The 12539-nt window shown below is 39.6% G+C and overlaps 1 protein-coding gene across 4 annotated transcripts in view; it reads right to left on the bottom strand.

Annotated features, from left to right (window-relative positions):
• Positions 1-11703, bottom strand: part of HMCN1 (hemicentin 1) — a 456559-nt gene extending 444856 nt beyond the window's left edge. For all 4 annotated transcript variants that reach the window (NM_031935.3, XM_011510038.4, XM_024450118.2 and 1 more), the window contains exon 1: positions 11047-11703. In NM_031935.3, the coding sequence (NP_114141.2) occupies positions 11047-11314 (268 nt within the window). In that variant the 5' untranslated portion in view covers positions 11315-11703. The remainder of the gene's footprint in view (positions 1-11046) is intronic.

Genomic DNA, 12539 nt, shown 5'->3' with positions numbered 1-12539 from the left:
CCTTTATTTTCAGGAACTCTATAAATGCACAGAGTTGACAACTTCTCCTGCTTAAAACTAACAACGTTTTAGATTTCCAAACACTACTCATTCCTGTTTTTCTCCCTATCTTCCTGGACTCCCTTTTCCAGAGTCCATAATGAACTTCCCTTTTTCTGTCTTATTTTAAATGACTGTGTTCTCTAAGTTCTATCCTGTCTCCTTCCTTTTCTCAGTCTGCACTCTCTCCTTGGATGATCTCATTTATTCCGATGGCTTCAGTTGTCATCTATGTAAGTTTCAAGTGGACAGAATAGCTACTTGGCACTAGTCATACTAACACTGACAGTTGGAAATGTTGAGGAGTGATACCTGGAGACAGACAGGCCACCCAAACAGATCCACACAGAGAGACTTTGATAAATTCACCATCATTGACCAAGGACTGGCTCTTGGACTTGTAAATTCAGAAACTTGAACTTGACACTGTCAGAATATTTTAAACGAAAGAGACTGATGGATATGACTAGTGTGCCAAAATATGAGTTAACAATGAGGAATATAACTGCCTGGTGAACCTGATTATGTGCCAGTCTGACTACAGACAGCCTTCTCTCCCCATAAGGAAAGTGCATGAGGTTACATATTCGGGAGGCTGTTTGGTGAGCATTTAACCAGAAAAAGCAGAGTTAATATTATGATCCAAATATGTAATGACATCATTACATATTTATAAGGATAAACAGTCTATCACCACAGTTAGAAAGACTGCTGATGCGTGGGCTGGTTATTCAAGTATAGAATGAACTAACACCCTGAACCCTAGTTAGAACTTGGCTGTACACTGCTTAAGTCTGTTTCTGTGACTCTCTTTTTCATTGCCGATTCCCTACACTTTCGGTTGACATTTTATCTTGGATAAGTTAATGTATAAGGAGCTTACTATCAGCACTTACTGGCCTGGGAGTAACGTTGTGTCTTAAAGCTAACTTTGCATATCTTTTCTCTTCCATCCTATGCTAATTTCAAATTTTAACCTCCAAAAGGCAATTATATTTCTTTTTTTTTAGATTCTTAGGACCATGTCCAGTCCATTGGACATTCTTAATAGCAAAGAAATCTATCCCCTTATCTCTACACCCAAGTCCCCTCAATGTTTCCCCCTGGATTGTGATGGCCTCACATTTCATCTCCCAGCTCTCAGGACTCCCTTGTTCCAATCCATCCAGGAGATAGAGATCTAAAATAAAAACCCAATCATGTCACTTCTTACTTATAATCCTTCCAGGCTCCTGATAGCTTTCAGGATGAAATCCAAACTCCTCAATGTTTGATTAAACTGCTTTTATTCATGCACTTTCTTCAGGTTTCAGTCCAGGCCACAATTATTCCAGAAAACCTTTGCTGACCACCACCATCTTAATTCAGGATCAGGTGCACTGCTCTGGGTCTGCACAGCACCCATGCTTCCTTCTGCTATAAAAGGTAGCATAGTATAGTATATTGTAATTTATCTTGCCCTATTTCTCACAGACTTGAATCAAGAGCACCTAGCACAGTCCCTGACAAATGGTAAGAAGTCTGTAATTGATAGACTAAATAACTGAATGAATGAGTGGATCTAATGGCTTATCTTTGACTTTTTAGATTCTCTTGTTGGTTTTCCAATTATGAGGCAGTGGCCTAGGGCTCAAAGGAACAATATAGTAAAGCATACATGCTTCTCAAAGCACTGAATATATGAGAATATATATTATAGTCGTTATATAACTGAACTGGTTTGAAACATCCTTTGCCTATAGGTTGATTAACAGTCAAGTCAGGCCAGGCATGGTGGCTCACGCCTGTAATCCCGCACTTTGGGAGGCCAACGTGGGTGGATCACAAGGTCAGGAGATTGAGACCATCCTGGCGAACACGGTGCAACCCCGTCTCTACTAACAATTAAAAAAAAAAAAATTAGCTGGGTGTGGTGGCGGGCGCCTGTAGTCCCAGCTACTCCGGAGGCTGAGGCAGGAGAATGGCGTGAACCCGGGAGGCGGAGCTTGCAGTGAGCCGAGATTGCGCCACTGCACTCCAGCCTGGGAGACAGAGTGAGACTCCGTCTCAAAAAAAAAAAAAAAAAAAAAAAACAAAACAGTAAAGTCATCAAGTAGAATCTTTTTCTATGTAATTTTTTAGTCTTACTGTATAAGTGTTGTACTATTTTCCTTGATAATTGCCTTCCTTCCACTATCTATTCAATGTTTATAGACAAATAAGTTACAGCAACACCATTTGTTCTATAGTACTTTTAAAGGACTTTCACATATAATGTTTTATTTAACCATGATAGCATCACTAAGGTAGGTAGGAAAAACTGATAGCATCACATCTGATAGTTGACATATATCCATTTTTAAATTTTTCCTATTCTCCACAGTGATGAAGACTCCTCATGGGATTATCAGAAACCACAAAAACCAAGGTTGAGAATCCCTGTAGATTTGTGAGAACACTTACAACATGGATCCTCTGGTTGCACAGTGCTCCTTGGAAATCAGTTCAATTGTTCTAACACCCCTTCAGCCAATCCAGTTAAAATTGGAAGGTAGGCAGACTGCCTTATAGCATACAGCTGAAACATTCCAGACTGCATTTAAATCCCCAACAAAATCACCTGCTTTAGAAACATTCAATCACTACACAAGACTCAGTCAGGCATTATCTGGGTCATAATTAGCCTTCCATTTCATATTCAAGCTTGGATGGGAGATATATTATCACCAAAAAGGCACAATTAGCAAATTATTATGTTGTGAATTGTATTCTTCTACTTGTGAGTTAAAAAGTAAAATCATAGATATGAAAGGCAGGATAAAAATACCCAGAGAAATTATCAGTTTTTGTCTCCAGCATTCATTCATTCATTCATGAAATATTTCTTGAGTGTCTATTGTGTGGCTGTAAGATAAATCAACTAGTCTTTTGGAGCTTAATATCTAGTCAGGGAGAAAGAGGAGTAAGCAGAATTATAAAGACCATCAAGAATGGTTATTGTCTGTTTGATCAGAAACAAATCATAAGCAATGTCAAATTCTGATTTATCAACAATAAAGTAGAAGGCTGTTCCTTAACTAATTAACAAGGGGGGAAAAACATCATTTCTTGGGAGTCACAGAGGATTCTGTTAAATGGGAAACATGCCTAACACATTTAAAATATCTGATTTACCAAACTTTGGTCCTTATACTTTAAGAGAAAGTCTTTGTTACGCATAGCAAAACACCTCTACATATCCTCAGGAGACATCTAGTGACATAAAACTCACTCACCAAAGTTGAAATATTTTATTATCCTGAGAAATAAGAGTTACCCTTGTCCAAAGTGTCTCACTCTTAAATTTTAGTGCATTGCATTCAGCTGAATTTCTCTTGGACATAAGAGACCAATCATTTTGCTTATGAAAATCCTCCTTCTTGTAGGATGTGCTAGAGGCACAGAGAGACTAACAGCTTTTTGGCTCTTTTTCCTATACATATTGAAACTGAAAACATTTCAATTTGAATTTCAGTTCATATAGATGTGCACAGGTTTTCAAGGTCCAAATGTGTAATATCTTCCATGTAAAAATCTTTCTATTCATTATGGTTTCAAATGATCTTGCTATTGCTCAGAAAAATATTCTAAGAGAATGATTTTACTAAAAAAAAAGTCCTGGAGGAATTTCTTACCACTGTGTATATACAGCCAAACTATACAAAGTCACTGAAGGCTGATGAACTGTATTAAAATGAAAACTTTTATATACAAAGATATATAACGTCAATATTTCTCCCAATGAATCAAGTCCTTGCTACTTTGAACCTCTTTATAGTTGCTTATTTTTCTTTATATTATAATGATGTAAATCATGGACTTTGACAATAACCTGCCAATGCTCTAATTTTATAGATGGAGAAACAGACGGTCGAGCAAGGTTAAAAGATTTGCTGAAGTGACAAGAATAAGAAAAAGAACACAAGTATTCTGTTTCAAACTGGATGTTCTTTTTACTTTTATTTGTATTCATAAAATACTTGTTGAATCGTTTATCAAACTAAGCTCAATTTTAGCCCTATGATCAAAGCAACCATTCCGGTAGTTGGACACAGCAATATATTTATATTTGTATTTCATAAAATACTAGTTGAATAGTTTGTCAAAACTAAGTTCAGTTTTAGCCTCATGAACAAAGCAACTGTTCCAGTAGTTGGACACGGCAATATAATTACAAAGATTTCCAAATCCTCTTTTCCCATTCTCTTTGAATTCTCTCCAAACAGGCTTTCACTCCCATCTCCTCCGTGAAACTATTCTTGTTGAGTCACCAATGACTTCCACATTGCTAAACTGATTAGCCAATTCTTGATCCTCCTTTTAAGTGACCAATTAGTTCTTCCTTGAAACAGTTTCTTGACTTCTAGGATAACATACTCTTCTCCTCCTATCCTGAGTTCAATTTCGTGGGCTGCTTTGCTGATTCATCCTCATCTCTCTGATTGCTAAACATTGGAGTCCCAGGGCTAGGTCCTCAGACCTCTTCTCTTCTCCATTTATAGTCAGTCTCCCTTAATGGTCTCATTTAGTCTAATTGTCCTAAATACCATCTATATGTATGTCTTTGGATCCCAAGACATCTCCCCTTGAACTTAAATCTCACATATCCAACTATCTTCTTATCTCTACTTGAGTATCAAAAGGCATCTCAGACTTTAACACCTAAAAATCAAAACTTCATCCTACCACCCTTTATCAAACCTGCTTCTTGCTCATTCTTCTCCATCTCAGTGAAAGGCCATGCTATGCTTCTATTTACTTGTCTTAGTCCATTCAGTGTAGCTATAACAGAATGCTTTAGGCTGGGTAATTTTTAAAGAAAAATGGCATATTGGGCGTATGATTCTGGTGACTGGAAAGTTCAAAATTGGGCAGCTGCATCTGGTGAGGGCCTCATGCTGCTTCCATTCACAGTGGATGATGGAAGGGAGGTGGGGCATTGCAAAGAGATCACATGGCAAGAGAGGAAGCAAGAGACAAAAACCAAGGAAGCCAGACTCTTTTTAACAACTTGTTTTTGTTTTTGTTTTCGTTTTTGTTTTTGAGATAGAGTCTTCCTCTATTGCCCAGGCTTGAGTGCAATGGTCCAATCTCAGCTCACTGTAACCTCCACCTCCAGGGTTCGAGCGATTCTACTGCCTCAGCCTCCCAAGAAGCTGAGACTATAGGCACGTGCCACCATGCCCGGCTAATTTTTGTATTTTTAGTGGAGACGGGGTTTCACCATGTTGACCAGGCTGGTCTTGAACTCCTGACCTCAAGTAATCTGTCTGCCTCAGCCTCCCAAAGTGCTGGGATTACAGGTGTGAGCCACCGAGCTCCCCGCCACCCCATCCCCCTACCCCCCACCCCCTGCCCAATCAACTTACTCTTAAAGGAATTAATCTATTCACACAAGAGCAAGAACTTGCCCTCAAGGGAAGACATTAACCTGTCCATGAGAGATCTACCTAAACACTTCCTACTAGGCCCTACCTCCCAACACTGACACATTGGGTATCAAATTTCCACATAAAATTTTTGGCATGGAAAAACCATATCCAAACCATAGCATCAGTCAAGCCAAATCCTCAGAACCTGTCTTGTCTTCTTTATTTTTCTAAGACCTCACATCCAGTTCATTAAATCCTTTTGGTTTCATCTTCAAAATATACAGAAAATCCAATTATTTCTCACACCTCCCACAGCCACCAACTTCATGCAAGATATACCATGTTCTTTTGTCTGAATTATACAATAGTGTCCTGTCTATTCTCCCTGTTTCTGCCCTTGTTCTGCTTCAGACTATTCTCAAACAACAGAATGATTATGTAGATGCATAAGTCAGATCACGTCACTTCTATGTTCAGAACCCTAAAATGCCAACCCATCTCACTCAGAGTAAAAGCCAAAGTCATAATGGACTACGAGCCCTTTCCTGAAATGACTCAACCATATTTCTGACTTCACCCTCTAACTTCTTCCTATCACTCATTGTGTTCCAGACTCTCTGGTCTTTTCACTGTTCCCTGAACATGTCAGGATGCTCTTATCAGGAGAGTTTTTCATTTATTTTTTCTCCACCTGTAACATTCTTTCCATAAATATCCTCATTTCTCCCTCCCTCACCTCCTTCAAGTCTTTGATCAAATGTGACTTTTCAACTGAGGACTTCCCTAATGACCGAATTTAAAATTCCAACACCTTCAATCCACCTCAAACTCCCCATCCCTTTTCCTGCTTTTTATTTTCTCCATACCAATTATCATCATCAAAAATACCATATATATTTTAATTGTTTTCTTTTTTGCCTGTGTCACTCCCCACCCCTGCAATAGAATGTAAGCTCCATGAATGCAGGCGCTTTTATCTGTTTTACGCCCTTTTATGTGAAGCAAGGTCTGAAACATATAGGTGAGTGAATGAATGAATGCATGGAGACTCATGTAAGATATCCTGGGAAGAAAGTGGAGACACAATTGTGAAAGAGAAGAAAAAAGAGTTTTCTTTCTATGAAGTAACTCATTAAAACACACTGTCCTGCTCCCTCTCCTCCTGTCTCTGGTACCTGCCTTAAAGAGAGGAGGGGATATAAGAGAGTGAGTGATAAAAGAAGCTATAGTGAAAGAGAGATGATCAGCCCTCCTCAATGTTGTATTTCAAGGAAGGGAGGAATATATTTTGAGTGCTATGTAAAAAGCACAGTAAAAATTAATACATAAGAATCAAAAATTTCAATAACAGCATGTTGCACCAGCAAAGACATGGAATCAACCTAGATGCCCATCAACGATGGACTAGACAAAGAAATTGTGGTACAGATACACCATGGAATACTACACAGCCATAAGAAAGAGTGAAATCATGTCCTTTTCAGTGACATGGATGCAGCTGGAGTCCATTATCCTAAGCATATTAATGCAGGAACAGAAAACCAAATACCATATGCTCTCACTTATAAGTGGGGGCTAAACACTGAGTACACATGTACACAAAGCGGCAAACAGACACTGGAACTTACTTGAGATTAGAGGATAGGGGGAGGATGAGGACTGAAAAACTATCAGGTACTATGCTCACTACCTGGATGACGAAGTCATTTGTACACCAAACCCCAGTGACACACAATTTACCCATGTAACAAGCCTGCACATATGGCCCCTGAACCTAAAATGAAAGTTGGAAGGAAAAAAAGAAGTTGTATGCTACATAAAGAAAATAATCTCCAGAATGAGTTTACTTTCTATTTTTTGAATTATTTTAACTCTAAGAAGAGCTTTATAAATCTATGTGCTATAATAAAGAACTTTTGAAATTTTCAAATAATAATAATAGTAGTGTATTGAGGAGGTTGGAAAGAAATCGGAACCCTCACACAGCGCTGGTGGGAATATAAAATGGTACAGCTGCTTTGGAAAACAGCTTGGCAGTTTCTCAAACAGTTAAACATAGAGTTACTATGACCCAGCAATTCCACTGCCAGGTATATCCATCATGGACTAACAGATAAACAAAATGTGGTATATCATACAATGGAATATTATTTGGCCATAAAAAGAGGAATGAAGTACTAATACATGCTACAACATGGATGAACCTTGAAAATGTTATGCTAAAGTGAAAGAAGCCAGTCATGAAAGACCTTATAGAATATGACTCTACTTGTATAAAAGTCCAGAACAGAAAAATCTATAGAAGCAAAAAAATAGATTAGTGGCTGCTTAGGACTGAGGGGAAGATGATTGGGGTATAGGAGACTGAAAGCTGAAGGGTGCAGGATTTGTTTTTGAGGTAATGAAGATGTTCTACAATGGACTGTGGCAACATTTGCACCTATCTGTGAATATACTGAAAAGCATCAAATTGTACACTTTAAGTGGATGAATTGTATGGTAAGGGGATTACATCTCAATAAAACCATTAAAAATAAATACATTAAGTGTGATTGTGAAAGTGGAAAATCCATCTTAACCACCGTTAACATCAAAATCAAAAGGTTGGCTCGCCTTTCCATGACCCCCGTTCATCTCTGGTACCTCCTCCTACTCTAGACACATGTGCTGCTAGTTCAACACAGCGCTTCTTACATGCACATATTCTGAATGGTCTTATCTCATTTTCAACTTGTTAGACACCCTGCCTCCACTACCTATGTGTTCCATGTGTTTTAAATTTACTCCATCTGCAAATACACACCTTGCCCCAAACTGTAATGCAGGGCTCCAAAGCAATCATCTGCAAATATCTAAAGGTTTATATCAAAAGACATAGAATATATCCCAGAATTCATCCATTATTTCATCTAGCTAAATGCGATAGATGTCAAAGGGCTTATAAACATTCAAGATTATTAATATAATCATATTAAATTCTATACATTATTTCTTTCCATGTTGGTTGTGTCACCCAACCATAGGAATATGTGTTAGGCACTATGAAAACAACCATATGTAAAAGAGTCATTAACTGTCACATTAGAAGAGACCTTAAGAGATATTCACATAGAATTCTCTCAATTTATATAGTTGAGGATACTAAGATTCAGAAAGTAAATATAGTTTTCTAATGTCACTCACTAAGACAGCCAATTCCCATTTAAGGTCCTTCCTGTCATTCCAAGATGCTCCTGCCTGTAATCCCAGCACTTTGGGAGGCCAAGGCAGCACAATCACTTGAGGCCAGGAGTTCAAGACTAGCCCGGGCAACATAGTGGAACCCCTGTCTCTATGAAAAAAATAATTAGTCAGATGTGGCATGTGCCTGTTGTCCCAGCTACTCGGGAGGCTGAAGTGAGAGGACTGCTTGAGCCTAGGAGGTTGAGTCTGCAGTGAGCCATGATAGTGCTACTGCACTCCAGCCTGGGTGCCAGAGTGAGACCCTGTTTCAAAAAAAAAAAAATAAACAACAACAAAAAAACTACAAAGAGGCCAAAAACTCTTAATGATTATACACACACACCTACAGAGGAAAAATATCACACAAATAAAGTACTACAATCTAGTAAAGTGAATACTAAAGTTAACAGTATGTTTAAACTTCAATTTCTCTCTTTATTTTCAAAAATATTTTAAATAGCTTTAGATAACATGAATATTTGGCCACTTCTACTTTGAATCACAATGTAAACAGAATTAATAATTCTGTTGAATTATACACACAATTAAGTTTATGAAACCAATTTAAATTAGTTAACCATTTTCTCATATTACTGGATTCAGAAAAGCTCTAACTTATTCAGTCATCTGTTATTAGCATGTCAAGTTTCCCCAACTTTAAATCATGATTGCTAAACTACAGGAAAGTCAACTACAGCAAAGAGCAAACTCTCCCATTTGGTAACAATTGAAAGGCAGGGCACCACAATACAATTCATTCCAATAAGTTTTCATATCACTTCAAAATATCAGGATAGTCCGGTATCCATGTATAACTTGAGGCAATTTTTGTATTCTGTTTACAGCAATATAATTTCATAAGAGTTCTTTGGTGAAAAGCAAATCGTGGTGTTAGAGAAAAAACAAAATTTCACTTCATTTTTTAGCTAACTTCAGACTCATCCATCTAGAAGAAACATACTCAAGGTATTCCGAAATAACAAAAACCTCAAACTGCATCACAGTTGGCATCTTGACATTTAATACATTGAAAATCACAACATATGAAGTGTCTAAGACAGTAAACACAGTAAATAATCATTCAATTCTTTATTCAAATATAAATAATATTCATGTTTAACCAATGTAGAAATTACAAATATATGTAATTACATATATGTAATGTATGTATGTGTATGTGTGTGTATATATATATTACATATCCCAGAAGAGTAGTACAGATTGTTTTCATCATGTGAAGAGCATGAAAATCCGAGAGTTCTATATATCTTTAAATTTCTCCCAGTGCCATTGTTTAATAGTTAAAACCTGCCATATTTAATACCTACCAATAATTTGAACTTATATACTTTTGCTAAATGCACAGGAAGGAATTTCAGATTGCCGATATCACACTCTCGTTGTGAAGAGGTTGTGTCAAGTTCTTCTAGTGAAGGGAGAATTTCAAAAGCAGGAAAAGTGTGGGAGAACAGTGGGGGAGGACTGTTAAGAAATCACTGCTTCATTTCTTCAACTGGGCAGCAACTTGTGCTAATGAAACTCAGGTGGACATTAGACTGCCAGCCCCAGGGTTTCCCTTGCAAGGCTACCCTCAGCTATGGCAATGGGGGCTCCTATAAGCCTCACAGAGAGGTGCTACTTTAAAGAGAAACTGAAAAAAGTAAATAGGATCATATTACAGTGGAGCTGCTGAAACCTACGGCTTTAGGGCAAAAATGAAGTTATTTCACTTCAACTACCTTTAAAAAGCACAGACATTCCGAATTACAAGCAATTCTACCGCAGGAGACATGGATGTAATGTTTATACCCATCTGTGAACCTATCTAATGATGCCCTGGTGCAAAGATGAATAGATTCAGTTAAGAAATGATTGGTTTCTCTCTTTTCTTTTCATGTCTTCAGTTCCACTAGTAGTTACTACTTACAGGCTTCCTTGTGTCTCACACAACAGGTTTTTTCCCCTCTTAAATGAGAGTTACCCTCAGAGTGTGCTTTCAATCTGGATGTTAGCCCCTAGAGCTTCGCTGCTATAAATTCGTGTCCAAGTCTGCCTTCGTAATTAAACATGCTTTAGTTCTAAAATCTAAGTGAGTTAAGTGATTTTGATGTCGTTGCCCAAGATTTTTGGTTTTGTTTTTCGTAACTCCACATTTCCAGGTTTGAGGACCACAGTACAAGTTCCCTAAACAAGCCATCTCCACCAGGGCTGAGACTTAAGTAGGTATCAATGAGCAAACCCAGACGCCAGCAAGTAATTCTTTGTTACAACTATTTTCAGCTGCACATTTTTTTAAAATGGTTTTGAAACTTCCTGACAAACAATTTCATTCACAGCATGAGAAATAATGTAATCATGAGACATAGCAAAGACAAAGTATAAATATTTCCCTTACCTGGATCATGGAAAGGCACCAACGCAAAGTTGAAAAGAGGTCTTTTAGGTCTTTTCAAAGACGTCTCCAAAATTTTGGAAGCCCCTTCAATCACCTGAACTAAATCATCATACATAGAACCAGTCACATCAAACACAAAAGCCAACGTGGAGGCCCCCTCGGGAATTTCCTCAGCTCTGATCTCTGACTGGGGGCTCGCATCTTGAGCTAGGGAAGAATAAAGAAGAGCAAACAGGAATACTGTATGGACAACTTCCCAGGAAATCATTTTCTTTTTTTTCCCCCTCTTTTTCCCCCTCAGCGCCTAAGCACTGTGCTCAGTCCTCCTCAACAACAGGCAGAGGGTTTCCTCTCAGAGTAACTCATCAGACTCTTGGAATCTCTGAACTAGCAAAAAGTTTGGCGCTGAGAATCAGACGGGGACAAGCACCAAACTCGAATCCCTCCAGGGGTTGGGCAGGGCAGGGATGCGGCAGCTTTTGTCTGGATGCGGCTTCCTCCTGGACTGCTATCTGCCCGCGGGCCCTGGACAGCCTGTGGCGGAGTGCGGGCGGCGCGTCGGGTCCATGCCCCGGGGGCAGCTCTGAGCCTGCGGCGCCGCGGCCCGAATCCCGCTGCCCTCGCCGCCGCCGCTGCTCTCCGCCTGGGCCAGCGACTGAGGTTCCCAACTTTCCACTGTTTGCAGCTCACGAGCGACGAGGGGAAGCCTGGCTCGGCCTCGCCTCCTGATTGGCCAGTTGCCGTCCTCCCTCCTTTGCTCTGGAGGCCCCCCCGGAGGGTGACTTTTCCCTCCACTGATTGTAGGGTCAATTCAGTCCCAGGGAAGCGCTTACGGTGTCAGCTCGGTTCCCACCGGCACCGTTCCTAACCTGCAAAACGCTAGTGTAAACAATGGCTTTCAAGAATGTGTGGCAAAGACCCAAACCGAGGGACACCACACTAGCACAAAGGGAATTTTGTTTTTCTATTGTGTACAACGCGGCTTTAGACACCTCTTTCCTAATTCCCCCCAAAAGTCAAGACGCCCCAGCCCAGCCTCCTGCCTCTCAGCCCACAACTCGGCCCAGCCAGGAGGGGGAGCTGGAAAATTCTCTCAGCTGCGAGGCAGCCACACTATCGCTCTTTGATCTCCTCTGAGACTCTGGACTGCAGGGAAGGAAGGGAGGACAACGCTGAAGGGGCAAGAAGCCCAGGAAGAGGAAAGGGGCTGCTGAGGGAAATGAGAGACAAGAACTAGGTAGTCACTAACTGTAGAGGGGAATGTGAATACAGGATGGAAGCCCCGTAGAAAGGACAAGGAGGAGGGGCGAGAGAGGTGTGGGGAAAGATGAGACATAAAATTCATATTAAAGAGAAAATTGATTTTTTAATTGTATTATCAAGATTCACATTTGCTGAGCAGTTTGAATCCTACGCTCAGCATAGTAAGGCAGAATAATATCCCCGTTTCAGATTTCCTCCCCTGGAACAGTCATGCCTCAGGTCTCAGCCAA

This window comes from Homo sapiens, chromosome 1 (assembly GCF_000001405.40).
Source record: "Homo sapiens chromosome 1, GRCh38.p14 Primary Assembly".
NCBI lineage: Eukaryota > Metazoa > Chordata > Mammalia > Primates > Hominidae > Homo > Homo sapiens.
Note: the sequence above shows the minus strand (reverse complement) of the source record. Positions and strands in the feature narration are given on the sequence as shown.